At 52.1% G+C, this 16,921-nt stretch overlaps 1 protein-coding gene across 11 annotated transcripts in view, besides 2 other annotated features; it reads right to left on the minus strand.

The window, feature by feature from the left end:
* COL23A1 (collagen type XXIII alpha 1 chain) overlaps nucleotides 1–16,921 on the minus strand; it is a 352,776-nt gene that overhangs the window by 285,452 nt on the left and 50,403 nt on the right. The window lies entirely within an intron of this gene.
* Nucleotides 1,734–2,933: an enhancer, noted in NCBI's record as "BRD4-independent group 4 enhancer chr5:177951804-177953003 (GRCh37/hg19 assembly coordinates)". NCBI's record gives its function as "activates an origin of replication core promoter dependent on BRD2, P300/CBP, MED14 and CDK7 cofactors, and independent of BRD4, by STARR-seq in HCT116 cells {active_cell/tissue: HCT116}" and the evidence as "EXISTENCE:reporter gene assay evidence [ECO:0000049][PMID:35650434]".
* Nucleotides 3,310–4,058: an enhancer, noted in NCBI's record as "H3K4me1 hESC enhancer chr5:177953380-177954128 (GRCh37/hg19 assembly coordinates)". NCBI's record gives its function as "activates a minimal SCP1, AML or CMV promoter by ChIP-STARR-seq in naive H9 embryonic stem cells {active_cell/tissue: H9 hESC(naive)}" and the evidence as "EXISTENCE:reporter gene assay evidence [ECO:0000049][PMID:30033119]".

The raw sequence follows: 16,921 nt of genomic DNA on the forward strand, positions 1-16,921 counted from the left end.
GCAGGCAGATCACCTGAGGTCAGGAGTTCAAGACCAGCCTGACCAACATGATGAAACTCTGTCTCTATTTAAAAATATATATATATATATATACATATATATATATATACACATATATATATATATATATATAGAGAGAGAGAGAGAGAGAGAGAGACAGAGGGAGAGACAGAGAGAGAGAGAGAGACAGAGAGAGAGAGAGAGAGAGAGCGCTAGGTGTGGTGGTGCGCGCCCGTAATCCTAGCTATTTGGGAGGCTGAAGCACGAGAATCGCTTGAACCTGGGAGGAGGAGGTTGCAGTGAGCTGAGACTGCTCCACTGCACTCCAGCCTGGGCAACAAGAACGAAACTCTGTCTCAAAAAAAAAAAAAAAAAAAAAAGAAAAAGAAAGAGAAACCTCTATGATGTGCACAAGTTCTGAGCAATCTACACGGCCTGGAGTTGAAGACACGTCACTGGGAACCGACGGGCCAGGAGCACCTCCAAAGCTCTGCGCCTGTCTAGCCACAGATGGAAATCTTCATCTCTGTGTCCATGGAAGCTCGAGGATGGTGCTTTCCTGTCATTTCCTTTCATTTATTGCTTTATCAGTGGCCGTAAGTGTTTCCATCACCAACCGAACAGCATATGTAAACCTGCACACTCTGAAAAAAATTCATTGAAACCCGGAATGATGAACAATTGGAAGGAGACTCTGCTCAATGCAGGCAACGCACATTCCAGATTCTGACATCCTTGTTCTCCCAAGAATCACTGCTGGGACGCAGCCACAACACAACCTGAGCTGTTACACGGGGAGAGGCAAGTTACACTACCTGGGCTCTGAACACGGCTGTCACTCACTGCAACCACTATTTCCTGAGACCTCTCCTATCTACGACCCTTCCTTTTCATGATCTCTGACAAGGACTTCAAAAATACAAACCTCCACAGGAATGAGCGTCTGCGGGGACACTGGTTCTGTGTCATACGGGAGGGTCTCTGGTGTATCAGCCAGGACCTTTATCTCCAAGGGTCAGAACCTGGGTCACGCTAGCTTAAATAACAAAGAGAACGTACTGCCCCTCTTGACTGAAAAATCCAGGAAGATTCAGGTCTGGCTGGATCCAGGCACTCCAATAACATCACCAGGGCTCTCTCCTTCCCCATCTGTCAGCTCTGTTTCCTCCATGTTGGCTTCATTCCCAGGGGAGCCCTCTTCACACTGTGGCCCCCCGCAGCTCCAGACCACATCCTGCCCGCTCTCCCCAGTGGAAAGAGACCCTCTCTAGTTCAGAAGTTCCAGGAAAATCCTAGAATCTGTCTCTTATGAGAATAACTGGGTCACATGGGTATCAGCAGAGCCTGGTGGTGGGGTCAGCCCATCCCAAGATACATAGCTTGGGAATGGGGTAGGGGCTTTACCCAAAGGGAAATCAGGGAACTGTCACAGAAAGGATGGGGGATGGATGTATCCAGAAAAAAATAACCCATGCTCAGCACAGGCAAAGGTCCTGGAAATGGTCGGGCATTGACCTGACCAGCTCTGGCCTGTACCAGCCTCCTCCCCCATGGACCACCTGGCCACACCTGCCCATTCTCCTGCAGACCTGGCCAACTTCCAGGCCACGCTGACCCGAGGCAGGGCTGGCTCTTGCCCTGCTGCCTGCCTGACGCCTCCTATGCCCCTGAAGCAGGGCCTTCTTTTTTCATAAGGGCCCCTGTCTAGAGCCCTAACAGGCCATGTGGCTCCACAACAGACCCACAGATCACTCACTCACTCACACACTCGCTCACTCACTCACGCAGCAATGCAGTCATTCATTCATTCAACAGCTGTCTGGGAGCCCAGCACTCTGCGGGACTCCATTTACACACGCACCACCCACCTAAACTGCGTAACTCTTTATGCTACGTGTTTTCATTTTAAGATGAAGAAAGAAACTAGGGCAACAAGAGGTTAAATAACTCGGCTAAGCTCACATGGCTGGTAAGAAATGGCGACACAGCGCGCAGACCCCAGGACCCGAAGGCTAAGCTCACATGGCTGGTAAGAAATGGCGACACAGCGCGCAGACCCCAGGACCCGAAGGCTAAGCTCACATGGCTGGTAAGAAATGGCGACACAGCGCGCAGACCCCGGGACCCGAAGGCTAAGCTCACATGGCTGGTAAGAAATGGCGACACAGCGCGCAGACCCCAGGACCCGAAGGCTAAGCTCACATGGCTGGTAAGAAATGGCGACACAGCGCGCAGACCCCAGGACCCGAAGGCTAAGCTCACATGGCTGGTAAGAAATGGCGACACAGCGCGCAGACCCCGGGACCCGAAGGCTAAGCTCACATGGCTGGTAAGAAATGGCGACACAGCGCGCAGACCCCAGGACCCGAAGGCTAAGCTCACATGGCTGGTAAGAAATGGCGACACAGCGCGCAGACCCCGGGACCCGAAGGCTAAGCTCACATGGCTGGTAAGAAATGGCGACACAGCGCGCAGACCCCGGGACCCGAAGGCTAAGCTCACATGGCTGGTAAGAAATGGCGACACAGCGCGCAGACCCCGGGACCCGAAGGCTAAGCTCACATGGCTGGTAAGAAATGGCGACACAGCGCGCAGACCCCAGGACCCGAAGGCTAAGCTCACATGGCTGGTAAGAAATGGCGACACAGCGCGCAGACCCCAGGACCCGAAGGCTTTATCTAAAACACTCAGTGCAAAATGGAAAAAGATAATGTGTCCAAGGCTCATAGGAAAAACTTCATTAACATGAAAAATGAAGATCAGGTAAAATGTATCCACAGGCAAAGCACGGCCTAGGCCAGAAGCACTGGAGAAGAGCCCAAAACTCTTTACACCTCATCAGCTGCCTTAGGAACACAGGCCTGACCTCAAGACCTCCATATACCTCTAGAGGGAAAGCAAACTCATACAAACTTGAAGATGGTAACAGCTTGAGGTAGTCAGCACTGCACAGGCAGGCCCAGCGGAGGCGAGTGTCCTCGGAGTGCTGGGAAGGAAGAAAGCACAAGGGCTGCAGTAACCCAAGAGGGCTTCCTGAAGGAGAGAGGGCAGAGGGCCAGGGAATGAGCAGGAAAGGCATGTGGGAGAGAGTAGGCCCTGGGGTCGACTCCTGTGGGTTTTGCCTTTCCAAAATCCTTCCCATACTTCCAGTAGTACCCTTCTGGCTGCCCCGGGAACTGCCCCTTTGCCTGGATCAGCCCATGTGGGTTTGCAGGGAGCTGACTCTATCCCCTGACCTGGGGGGCCAAGCAAAGCCCCACACCCTCTCAGTTACAGTGACAGGCTCACGGGACATGTAGCTGTGGCTGGACCAGGGAACGTCCTCTATGGGACTCTGCTGGCATGCTGAGCGAGAAGGACATGGGCCTGGTGGGGAAGTGTTTGCCTGAGAATGAGGCCAACACACAGGACTGCAGAACCCAGAGGCGAGCAAGCCCACCAGGAGGGCATCTGCGGCTCCTGAAACCAGTAAACTCCAGAGCCCAGTAAATTCTCTTTGAACTGGCTGAAGCCAGTTTGAGTCATGTTTCTGTCATCTGCAATAAAAAGAGTCTGATGCTGCCGTGGAGCTTCTTGGGGGAAGAGAGGGGCTAGCGAGTCTACAATGGGGTGTTTCCACTGCTGGGCCAAGGATAGAGGGGGTTCAGGCAAGCCACAAAGGACCTGAGCCCCGAATGTGGATTCAAACTCAGACTACAGCCCCCAGTGTTCCCTCAGCCTCACTCCTCTGCTATCCAGACATGGGGCTCCATAAATGGCAGCTGTAAGGGTGAAAGAATGAGTCCATCGCACGCTCCTGCACTCCTGTTTATTCCATTAACTGCCGTATGAAACTGTTCCTATCCTTACTCATTCAAACCGCTGCCTTCCAAAAAGACGGCCTCCTTTGTCCTAGCACCCCAGGGTGCCGTGGTAGGCAGGAGAGGGCCCAGGCCAATTACAGCCAGGACGGGGAGGGGGAAGCTGAGTCCGGAAGCCAAGCCACATCTTGCAGGGCACTTGGTGTTGAAGGGGGTCAAATCCAAGTCAAAAAAGGGGGAAGTTGGACCCCAGAAGTGGAGCCCAGATGGGTGTGGACAAGCAGGGCTCAGGGAGGCAGCAAGGCGGGGGGCCCTCGGTGAGGAGAGTGGGGGACAGCACCAGGCATGCTGGCAGCAAAAGTGCTGGACCTGGGGCTGGTCTGAGCTGACTGACACTCACCCTCGCCCTGAGAGCTCTCCCTTCTGTGCTGGGGTGAAGGAGCCGGGGTCTAGATGTTTCCACACCGTCCCTGCAGCCTCCTGACTTTCTATGTGAAGAGCCTTGGCCTTTTCCATCTGTCTGTCCTGAGATCAGCGGTTGACCCCCTCATCTCTCTTCCCTGGGGCTCTGCCAGCTCCAAGGGGCCTCCAGGCACCCCGCAGCCTTCTAAGAGAACGTCTCCTGCTCAGGTTCTATTTCCAGGAAGCGGCTGGCCCGGGTGGATGGTGTGTCCCAAGCTTGCCTGGGCACAGCACCACGTACAAACTGTCCTCATGACTCGGTTACCAACGAGGGGCCAGGGGAGGGGTGGCCTCTGCCAAGACCTGGAGACAACTGCACATCCCCAGTGGGGCACAACCTCAGTCAGCCCTGAGTGCATGCTGTGTGTGCTCCCGGGGACCCCACTGCCTTCCACTACAAGCTGCCACTCAGACGCCCCTGCCCACGCCCCTGCCAGGCTCCCTGCAGCCTGGATACTGGAAACCTGGCGGAAGCCTGATGGGCTTGGCCCCAGGCAAATGCAGCGTCTTGTTCCTCAGATACAGCCCGAAATGGAAAATGCCAAGATAAAACCTTTCCAGGATTTCTTGGCATGAAATAGCTCCCCACATTCACACACACAAAAGGATGACTTAAGTGTACATGAATCAGAAACACCTGGACACTTTTCTTAAAATAAAACCGAATTTCACATTCAAGGGGAAGGCCTAGAACACATTTGGCATTTTGGCAAATACCGGGGCTTTTGGCTGTGACATCTGTGCACCTCAGATGCGGTTCCTGCTCCCTGGGCACTGGGACTGCCCCAGTCCCCGCCTCTGGCCTCCTGCCACCTGTTCTACCCCTCAGCTTGCTCACCTCCTGGAAACCCTTGCCCCTCACCTGTGACAAGTCCTGGCTTAAATATTAGCCCTCATTAAAGCTCTTCCTCACCTAAGCCCACTCACGATCACTCATTCACCCTTTCACCATCTCACACACTCCCTACAGGGGAGACCTGTGGTGGTTTCTGCTGTCTCCGCTGCCCCCTTTTCTGCTAATGACAGCCTCATTTTTCTCCCTGCCTTCCCTCATCCCAGGTCACAGGTTTCAGTGGGACTGACCCCACTCCCCACTCGCTTCAGGGATGGGCACACATCTCTGGGCTGGTCTTCACTCCCTGGCCACAGTGATGAGTTCCAAGATGAGCAAGTGACTTGCACTCATTAAATGTGAGTCAAGGCCGGGCGCAGTGGCTCACGCCTGTAATCCCAGCACTTTGGGAGGCCGAGGCGGGTGGGTCACAAGGTCAGAGTTTGAGACCAGCCTGACCAACATGGAGAAACCCCATCTCTACTAAAAATACAAAATTAGCAGGGCATAGTGGCACGTGCCTGTAATCCCAGATACTCGGGAGGTTGAGGCAGGAGAATTGCCTGAACCCAGGAGGCGGAGGTTCCGACGCGCTGAGATCGCGCCATTGCACTCCAGCCTGGGCAACAAGAGTGAAACTCCATCTCAATAAAACAAGTGAGTCCATCCCTCAATGCTTGCACTTCTCCCGAAATGAAGGGAAGAGGTGTTTTGTGTCCACTGGGATTTCTGATCCCAGAGTTCTTGGCAGCTGTCTTGCCACTGCTTAGAGACGGTGTATCAGTTACCTATCACCTCAAAACAACATGACCCAAAATTCAGTGGCCTAAAGCATCAATGTATTGTTTCTCAGGATTCTATGGCCTCGCAGGGCTGGGCGGTTCTGCTCCGCAGAGCTACGGCTGAGGTCCCTCGCGGCTGTTCTCCTTAGGGAGTTATCTAAGATGTCTGGAATGTCTGATATGGCCTTGTCGTCCAAGGACTCTCTCCATGTGGCGTCTCTTCAGCCGACAGTCTAGCCCTGGGCTTCTTTACGTCTGGGTGGCTGGATTCCGTGAGGATGTGTTGCAAGAGGACAACCATAATGAGCAAGCGGCTCCTCCAGCCTCTACTTGTATCACACTTGCTAGTGTCCAGTTGGCCCAGACAAATCACAGTGAAGCCCAGAGTCAGTGTGGGAGGGAACTGCACGTGGCGTGAAGCCCAGAGTCAGTGTGGGAGGGAACTGCACGTGGCGTGACCATCAGACGCCTGGTTTCTTGGGGCCCCAAGTGCAACTGTGTAACACTGAGGTGCAGGGAGGAATCTCCCTTCAGTCCTGGCACCCAGTGATGCCTGAAGTGAGAAATCTACCCGTGGCCTTTCTAGTTACATAAACCAAAATCAAACAAACAAAATTCATTTTTTTGCTTTATTTTGTCATGCCACTCAGAGTTAAGTTTCTGTCACTGACCAATAGAGGGACAGACGGTCCCTCTGTGCCAAGCCCAGAGTGGACACGAGGGGCATAGACTGAAAGCAGGCACCGCTGACTTCACAGGCAGAAGCGCTCCCAGGCCTCTGTCTCCCCAGCGAAACTACACATCTCCCGTGAGTGGGGCCAGACCTCAGGCCTGATTTAAACTCCTCGTGTCCAGCATGGTGCCAGGCACACAAGAAAGGGCCAGTAGAAGCGTGTGGATGAACTGTGATCATAGTGTACCTTTCAAACACTGCTGTATAATGACTCTCAAAGTCTTGTTTTGTAAGGTAGCATCTCTCAAAATCAACCAGGTATTGTTTACTTTTAAGACGAAGGAAGATCCCGCTCTAGCAGTCAGGCCTATCTGATAAAGCCTGTTCCATAACAGTTTTTCTACGGTCTTGCCCTGAGAAGTCTAGCCTCTGTTGAATTCTGGAATAGTGAAAATCAGCGTGAAGGAATAGGAACACTGAATTTGAAACCTACAGATGCACAGCGGTTTTAAGCAGGTCCACACATCTTTTGAGATTCTTCCCATCAAAAGGCAGAGTGTGGGCCAGGTGTGGTGGCTCAACCTATAATCCCAGCACTTTGGGAAGCTGAGGTGGAAGGATCATTTGAGCTCAGGAGTTCAAGGCCAGCCTGAGCAATATGGCAAGACTCCGTCTCTGCTAAAAATAAAAAAGATTAGCCGGGTGCAGTGGTGCGTGCCTGTAGTCCCAGCTACCCAGGAGGCTGAGGTGGGAGGATCACTTGACCCTGGAAAGTGGAGACTGCAGTGATCCAAGTTGATGCCACTGCACTCAAGTCTGGGTGACAGAGAAAGACCTGTTTCAAAAAAAAAGGCAGAGTCTAACTTCTGTCCCCTTTGAATATGAGCCAGACAGAATCACTTGCTTCTAATGAAGAGAAAGTGACACAGTGATACTGCATGGCTTCCCGGGCCACTTAGGAAAGGCGATGCAGCCTCCTCCCAGCTCCTTCACACTTAGAACCCAGTGGCTAATTTGTGAGGAGGCCAAGCAGCCAGACCAAAGACCAGGTGTAGATGTTGCAGCCACAGCTCCCTCCGGCTGAGGTCCCTGCCACCATCCAGCGTAACCTGCCAGACAGGTGAGTGAGCGAGCCTTCAGAGGATCCCAGCCCCAACCTCGTTCTAGCCTCCCTCCCAGCTGACACTGAGTCAGCAGATACCAGCTATCTTTGCTGAGCCCTAATGAAATAGAAGATTCATGAATGAAATAAGCATTAATTTTTTTGAGGTAGAGTTTTGCTCTTGTCGCCCAGGCTGGAGTACAGTGGTGCGATCTCAGCTCATTGCAACCTCCATCTCCTGGGTTCATGAGATTCTCCTGCCTCAGCCTCCCAAGTAGCTGGGATTACAGGCACGCGCCACCACGCCTGGCTAATTTTGTATTTTTTAGTAGACACGGGGTTTTTCCATGGGGTCAGGCTGGTCTCAAATTCCCAACCTCAGGTAATCCACTTGCCTCGGCCTCTCGAAGTGGTGGGATTACAGGTGTGAGCCACCGTGCCTGGCTGAAATAAGCATTTTAAGCTATGAACTTTTGGGATCATTTGTACCACAGCAGTAGGTAACGGGAACAAGATGGAAGGGACTGTAGAGATAATACAGTTCAACTCTCCCATTTGAGGGATGGGAAAAGGTCCAGAAGATGGCAGCGACTTGCCCTAACATGACCCAGTGTGGGGTGGGAACCCAGGTCTCTTGATGGCAAATCTAGTGCTCTCCGCATGACCTGCCTGGGGCTGACACAACTCTCATTCCAAACCCCCTGTGGCCTGACCTAGCTCTGTCAAGATGAAGGTCTGCCTGTTAAGGATGGAGAGATGGAAAGATAAAAAGAGCCTGGGATCCTGAAACACCCCTGAGCAGATACACCAGCCCCGGACTTTCCGCCTCTGGAATTATCATCCTGCAAGAAGATAATCCCCCCGTGTTTAAGTTAGGGATTCTGTTCTCGGCAGCCAAATGCAAGCCCAACGGATAGGATGGCTTTCAGACTGCACTGGATTCAAAGTTCCTACTGTGGTCTTTCCAACTTATTTTGTTATTGTTGCCAAAAACCATGTAACTGAGATGTAACTACCAGGGGCCAAGCTGAGAGAGCTTCCCACTGCCCTGCTAGGCTGCCCTTGCTGCGAGCGAGTGCATCCTTGCCCATCCTCGGCCTTCTAAGCGATCCCTGCCCCGGCATCCTGCACGCTCCCTCTGGCCAGTGCAGCATGAGAGGAGCCTGGTTCTCCTCTCAGTCCTGGAGTCACCGAACCACAACACCAAACTCAAGGTGGGCTGCCTGAGTCCTCAGAAGGGTGAGACATGACAGGTGACACAGCCCCCAGCTGACAACCAGATGCAGGGTGGCCCCCAGTGGAAAGATGCAACCAGCCACATCCCATGAGTGCAGGCTGGCTGGGGTGTGCCATCTGCCGACGTGGGCAGAGCTCACTCGGAGACTCCCCTTTTTGGTCCTGTTCCAGCCAAGATCTGAGTGACCTCCATCCAGAATCGAAAAGCTGAGCCTCCAACTGAGGGATGTGCTCCAGGCACATTGTTTGCCAGCCTGTTGACTTAATCAGGTTATTCCTTAGAAACAATCAGGTCATTAAGAGGAAACTTTAGTAACCATGTCTTGGGCAAGGCCCCTGGGAGAGGCTCATTTTGTGGCTGAAAACCTGGGGATGGAAGTGGCCTTTTTAGGAGCAGCCTTAAGAAAGGGAGCAGCAGAACTGTCCTCGGACCAAATGCTGCCCATATGCAGCTACAAGGGCCCCCAAGGTGCCCCAAGAAACAACAGTCCAGAGACACAGACTCAGCCGAGCCCCGAGAAGATGCAGCTTACAGAGCCATCTGCACCTGGCACTTCACTCGAGTCAAACAGAAACCCCATACAGGCGAGGGGCTATTACTGTTCCCATTTTACAGAAGGGGAAACTGAGTCTTGAGGCATTTAAGAGACTTTTCCAAGGACACATGCAAGTGAATGGGCACCGTGACTGGGTGTTGTGTTCCCCAGAAAAATGCACGTGTTGAACCCCTAATCCCAACTGTGATGATGGCATTTGGAGGCGGGGCTTTGGGAGGTAATTAGGCATACATGCAATGATGAGGATAGGGCCCCGGTGATGGGATTTGGGTCATTACAAGAAGAGGTAGGAAAGACAAGAGCAGCTTCTCTTTCTGACACGTGAGGATGTGGCAAGAAGGCAGCTGCCTACAAGCCAGGAAGAGAGGCCTCGCCAGAACCCGACCACGCTGGCCCTGATCACAGACCCCCAGCCTTCAGAACTGTGTGGAATCAACAGCTGTTGGTTAAGCCCTGAGCTGTGGGGTCCCTGGCTGGAAGCTCCTCTGCTCTCTCCCTTAACCCCTGCCTTGCTGGAGCATCACTTAGCCCCTCTGAGAGTCACTTTCCCTGTCTGTAAGATGGGGAAATGCCTGCCCTACAGGGGATTCTAAGGAAAAATGAGATTGTGACTACCTTGGAGATCTGAGAACTAGGAAGCTCTGAGGCTGTACAGATGAAACTATTTTTTTTATTGCGGTAAAGTGTATGCAGCATAAAATTTACCATTTTAGCTATTCTTAAGTGCACAATTCACTGGCATTAAGTACATTCACAATGTTGTGCAACCATCACCACCATCCGTTGCTAGAACGTTTTCATCATCCACACGGAAACTTTGTGCCCATGGAATAACTCCCTCAGCCCGTGGCAACCGTGACTCCACTCCTTCTCCAGGACTACTCTAACTGCTTCATGAAGTGGAATGCTACAGTGTGTGTCTTTGCGACTGGCTTATTTCACTCAGCATGACATCCTCAAGCTTCATCCATGTTGTAGCATGTGTCGGAGTTTCTTTTTTTTGAGACACGGTCTCGCTCTGTCATCCAGGCTGGAGTGCAGTGGCGTGATCTCGGCTCACTGCAACCTTCACCTCCCAGGTTCAAGTGATTCTCCTGCCTCAACCTCCCGAGTAGCTGGGACTACAGGTGTGCACCACCACGCCCGGCTAATTTTTGTATTTTTTAGTAGAGATGGGGTTTCACCATATTGGACAAGCTGGTCTTGAACTCCTGACCTCGTGATCCGCCTGCCTCAGCCTCCCAAAGTGCTGGGATTACAGGCATGAGCCACCACACCCAGCCGTTTCCTTCCTTTTTAAGGCTGAATAATGTTCCACTGAAGGAATATATAATATATAAAAATATTTTGTATCATTCGTCTATTGAAAAGGAAGCTCATTCCTTAGGGAGGCTTCAGTGGACACCCAGTGTGAACCCCACACACAGACTTCCTCCCACACTGGAGTTTGGTCCAGTATCAGCAAACTCTCTCTCTCCTTCCTTCAAATCACTCTCAGGTCCTGCCTCCCACAGGCTACAAATAACCTGACAGTCTCTCCATTAATATTGGATGGCCAAATTCTGCATGCCTTAGGCCACTGGGGCTGCGGTAACAAAATACCATAGACTGGGTGGCTTATAAATGTTTATTTCTTGCAGTTCTGGAGGCTGGGAAGTCCAAGATCAAGGTGCCACAGGCTCAGAGGCCAGTGAGGGTCTGAGTCCTCATAGACAACCATCTTATTGTACCTTCACACGGTGGAAGGAAAAACAGGCCTTTCTGGGGTTCATTTCCTAAGGGCAATAATGCCACTCATGAGAGCTCCACCGTCATGACTTAACCACCTTCCAAAGGCCCCGCCTCCCAACACCCCCGCCTTCACGGTGAGGATTTTGCTGTACGAATTCGCAGGGACATAAAACTCTGTCCATCACATGTTGTAAGGGAGGGGGCACTGGGCTCAGCCCCATCGCTCACTGGCCAAGTCAGAAATAGCGCACAGAGGCCAGGGCGGTGGCTCACACCTGTTAATCCCAGCAATTTGGGAGGCCAAGGCGGGCAGATCACGAGGTCAGGAGTTTGAGACCAGCTTGACCAACATGGTGAAATTCCATCTCTACTAAAAATCTAAAAATTAGCTGGGCATAGTGGCTCATGCCTGTAATCCCAGCTACTCGGTAGGTTGAAGCAGGAGAATCGCTTGAACCCGGGAGGCGGAGGTTGCAGTGAGCCAAGATCGTGCCACTGCACTCCAGCCTGGGCGACAGAGCAAGACTCCAAAAAACAAAAAAGAACAGAAAAGAAACAGTGCACAGAGCACATGTGCACGACCAGATTACAGTACAGGCCCTGCCCCACACTCTCATTAAATCCCCATAAAAACTCTACCAGGTAGCTAGCACTTTTCCTGTTGACTAAAAGAGGTTATTACACATAATTTTGCTTAAAATCCACAGATTCCTTCTTTTTCCTTTTTCTTTTTTTTTTTTTTTTGAGCAGAGTTTCACTTTTGTCGCCCAGGCTGGAGTGCGGTGGCGTGATTTCGGCTCACTGCAACCTCTGCCTCCAGTGTTCAAGCGATTCTCCTGCCTCAGCCTCCCCCCAGTAGCTGGGATTACAGGCGCCTGCTACCACACCCGGCTAATTTTTTGTATTTTTAGCAGAGACAGGGTTTCACCATGTTGACCACGTTGGTCTCAAACTCCGGACCTCAAGTGATCTGCCCGCCTCAGCCTCCCAAAGTGCTGGGATTACAGGCGTGAGCCACCGTGCCCAGCCCACAGCTTCCTTCTGACTCCAGAACTCATGCTGAAGGCCCTGACGCTCTCAGAGCCCTGGCTTCCTTATCTACTCCAACAGGCTGCCAAGCCTCGGTTACACACAGCTCCCTTCTGGCTCCAGCACTCCGTGGGTGTGGGCAAGGCCACAAGCTGAGCATGCTCCTGTGAGCACCAAACAAGACAAGGACTCTGAAGGCGCTCTGTATACCGCATGCCAGGCATCACTCTCCCACGCACAGAACAGCAGTGCGCAGCCCAGAGGCCCAGCTGGCGGCTCACAGGGAACCCTGGTGCCTCAGCCCCTCCAGGCCAGGGTCAGAAGCCTGGGCTACAGAAACACAAGGCGTGGTCACAGGAACATGCAAACACTGGGAAAGAACCAGGGGTGGGACGTGACTCCAGGAGCTGGAGGCAGACCCATCACCCTGCATCCTGTCTGAAGGGCGCCGTGTGCCCAGCACGAAGTGCACAGAGCCAAGAGAGGAGGTCCCAAGTGCTCACCTGAGCCAGAGTCCCCAGCCCCATCGTGGAGAGGGCTGTGAGAGGGTGGGCATCCCGCCATGTGGCCCTGAGGTCAGGCCCTATCTGCGGGGCAAGGGAGGTGCCTGGCCCAGTGTGAGGGTCCTGGTCAGGGGATTCCGGCCACCTTTTGCCATTGTCTGTTCTGACCCCTGGATTCCCAGGACCCGAGAGGGTCATGACCCATCAGGGCAAGGGCCAGGCCCCGGGCCTTCCTCCAGGTAAAATGCTGACAACCCTCTGAGGTGGAAACTGTCCCCAGGGATCTGGTCTGCCAGAGGCTGTCCCTGGCTCTGAGGCCACCAGCAAGGCAGCCACTACGGAGGATGGGCCTTCAATACAGAAATCTCCTTTGAGGAACAATTCACTGCCATTCCCACAAGGTTGTCGTCACCCTCGGCTGGGGACGCGGCTCATGCCGCAGGGGTGCTCGGGGAGTGTGGCTTCCCCGGTCTGCCTGCCTCCTCACGGGAGAACCACGAAGAGATGGAGACAACAGCACCCTGACAGACCAGGGGATGGACCGGCGTGGAAAGCCCCAGTGGGGCTTAGAGAGCCTCTCACATCCCGACCACATCACCGGGAAACTCTAGCACAGTTCCTCGCTATGCTCACAAAACCCACAGGGCCCGAATCTGATGTCAGGGTCCCAGGTGTGGCTGCTTCCTCTGCTTCAGTGTCCACACTGTCTACAGGTTGTACAATAAGGACCAATCACCGGATGCATCATCCAGACCATGGACAGGTGCAGTCAGTCACCCTCAGTCCCCTGCAAGGTCTGAGGCCTGCTGGGAGCCTCCCAAGCCTGATGGCCTCACACTTCTAGGCCCACAGCACTGAGTCCCAGGCCCTGAGCTCCGGTACCTGCTGCACAGGCCCATTCAGGGTGCGATGAGGGCATCCCTATGCGGCTCGGTCCCATTCTTGAAAGCGATGATGACCCTACAGAGGCTCTGGGAGGGGCTGGGACAGCCCAGAGGTTTCCCGGGGAGGTGGGGCATGTGCTGAGGGGGTGGAGGATGCACATTTGGGTCAGAGCTGGAGAGCCAGATGTGAGCTTTTGGCAGCCACAGCTCTACTGAGCCCTCCGCCCCAGGCCCTGGTGACACCTGGGCTGATTTATGGTTCTACCACGGGGCCTGCACTGGGAGCAGCCATTAGGATCTGACCCTGCAGAGCCACACAGGCCCATCCTCACCGCCGACGGCTGCTCCTCTGCTCTTCCGGTCCACTCCTGCTTACCTTCCAGAGACACATACGGCACTGGCCTGGGCCAGACTCCTCACACCTCTGAGCTGTGGAACACAGCGGGTGACATGATTTCCATGGAAGGCGTAGAGGGAGGGGGTCCCACATACAGGCCGGGGGTGACAGGGAGAGGAGCACCCCTGACCACCCGTGTCCCCATCTCTAGACTTCTCTTAGGGGGGTCTGGGGCTTGTAGACGTGCCATCAGGTTCCTGCGAGGCCCCCTCCCTGCCGCACCCTCAGGGTCTGCCAGTGTGGGCCTGAGGCCCGGGGTCGTATTCAGATTCTGCCAGAAGAAAGAGCTCCAGCACTCAGAGTCAGAAACCACTGGCCTCAGCAGCTCACAGATGGGGAAACCGAGGCCGGGTGGGGCTGGGTGAAGGGCAAGCGATATTTCCTGGGTCATAGAACTAGTACCGAGGAGAGGAGAACAGTGTCCACAGATGCCTGGGACTGACGGAGGACAAGGGGTGTCCTCAGAGGGAGTCTGTGGCAGGGGGTGCTGGCATGGGCTCCCCACTCAGCAGACATGAGGGCCGGACCTGTCCCTCTCTTGTCTGGGTGACAATTCTGTAAAATGGACACCACGGTCTGCCGAAGGCGGCTGTGGGGCAGCATCCAGCCACAGGGCAAGGCCATGACAGGCGCCTTCTTTACTGAAACTGTGTGTGCAAGTGGTAAAATATACACGGCATGACGTTTACGTGGTGAAACGTGCGCGGCACGACGTTTAAGTGGTAAAATACGTGGCATGACGTTTCCCATGGCAGCCACAAGTGCACGGCTCAGTGGCGGTAAGTACATTCACACTGTCGTGCCACCATCACCACGTCCGCCTCCAGAGCTCTTCAACTTCCCAAACAGAAGCTGTCCCCGTTCTCCCTGGCTAGCCCCTGGCACTCACCCCAGGTACCTCCTATGAGTGGAATCACACAGTATCCGTCCTGTTGTGACTGGCTTAGTCGAATTCATCCACGTTTGCAGCCTGTGCCACAATTTCCTTCCTTTCTGAGGCTGAATCGTATGCTATTGTATGGATATGCTGCATTCTGTTTGTCTATTCATCTGTGCTACAGCTCATCATCATCCTGAGCACAGAGGAGCTGAAGGGGAGATGTTCCTCCCTCCTCCTCACACAAGAGCCCCAGAGGGCTCGTTTACCGCTCAGGGCTGGGCATTCCACCTCTAGGCAGATTCCCGCAGAAGCTCACACTGGAAGAAACTTAACGCCTCTCTACCTAACTGGAGTGAAAAGCTGCTTGTTTTTTTATCTTTCTAACTTCCAGTTTGTCAGGGACCCACGCTTTTATAAAATACACTAAAATGATGGGGTAGAAAAATGAAATTTAAATAACCAAAAACATAAAAGTACTTGCCCATTTTATTAAAAAATTAGATTCAGTAGACATAAAATTACTGTTTAAATTGCTTTCATAAAAGTTTCCACACATTCTCCATTTCTATTCTAATCTTGTTAGAGAACCATAACAAACAGTTCAAGGGCTGGCATCCATTTGCAAACCACATTTTGAGTAGCACAGCCTGGAGCACTGTTTCACAGCAAACTTAAACAACTAAATGCCCATCAATAAGGTAGCTGTTAAATATGCTTTGGTATATCCCTATTATTATTTAGCAATAAAAAATAATGAAGCACGTGAGTTAGCAATTCCAGTCCTAGCTATCTACCCAAGAGAAATGAAAACATATGTTCCCACACACACTTGTACAAGAATGTTCATGGCAGCACTATGCCTAATAAGCAAACAGTGGAAACCCACATGTCCATCAACTGATGAAAGGATAAACACACTGTGGAGTAGCCATACAACAGAACATTACTCAGCCATAAAAAAAGAATCAAGTATGGATACATAGTAGAGCACGAATGAACCTTGACAATATTACACTAAGTAAAAGAAGCCGGATGAAAAAGGCCACATGTTGTGTGATTCCATTTCCATGAGATGTCCGGAAAAGGCAAGGCTTTAGAGAAATTAAATAGATTCGTGGTTGGCAGGGCCTGTAGGAAGGGGCTTAGGGGTTAACGGCTAAGGGGACAGGGTTTCTGTGTGGGGCAATGAAAATGTTCTGAAAATAACTGTGGAAGTGGTTGCACAACTCTGTGTATACTCTAAGAACCACTGAATTGCATACTTTAAACAGATGAACCGTACGGTGTCTGACTTCAATCTTAATAAAGCTGTTATGAGAAATAATGAGGCCGAGCACGGTGGCTCACGCCTGTAATCCCAGCAATTTGGGAAGCCGAGGTGGATGGATCACCTGAGGTCAGGAGTTCGAGACCAGCCTGGCCAACCTGGTGAAATCCTGTCTCTACTAAAAACACAAAAATTAGCTGGGCATGGTGACAGTGCCTGTAATCCCAGCTACTTGAGAGGCTGAAGCAGGAGAATCACTTGAACCCGGGAGGCGGAGGTTGCAGTGAGCTGAGATTGCGCCATTGCACTCCGGCCTGGGTGACAGAGCAAGACTCTGTCTCAAAAAAAAAAAAAAAAAAAAAAAGAAAAAGAAAGAAAGGGAAAAAAAAGAAATAATGAAGCAGAGTTCTCTATTAAAACATGTGACTTAATTACTTAAAATCTAAAGAAAATTCTAGGCCTGGATATTTTCACCAGTGAATTCTTCCAAACACTTCAGAAAAAAAGCAACACTAAACCTTACACATTTTTTTCCAGAGAATAGAAATGGGGTAACATTTCCCAACTTGTTCTGAGACCAGCATAACCTTATACCAAAACTGGACCACAGAAGAACACATATTAGACCATCTTTCTATAAAGACCGATGCAAATCCTAAACAAAAGATTAGCAAATTGAATCCAGCAACATATTAAAATAATATATCCCATCCAACTGGCGTTTATTCCAGGAATGCAAGCGTGGTTACCATCCTAAAAATCAATTAATATAATGCACTGTTTTGA

This window comes from Homo sapiens, chromosome 5, assembly GCF_000001405.40.
Source record: "Homo sapiens chromosome 5, GRCh38.p14 Primary Assembly".
Lineage (NCBI taxonomy): Eukaryota > Metazoa > Chordata > Mammalia > Primates > Hominidae > Homo > Homo sapiens.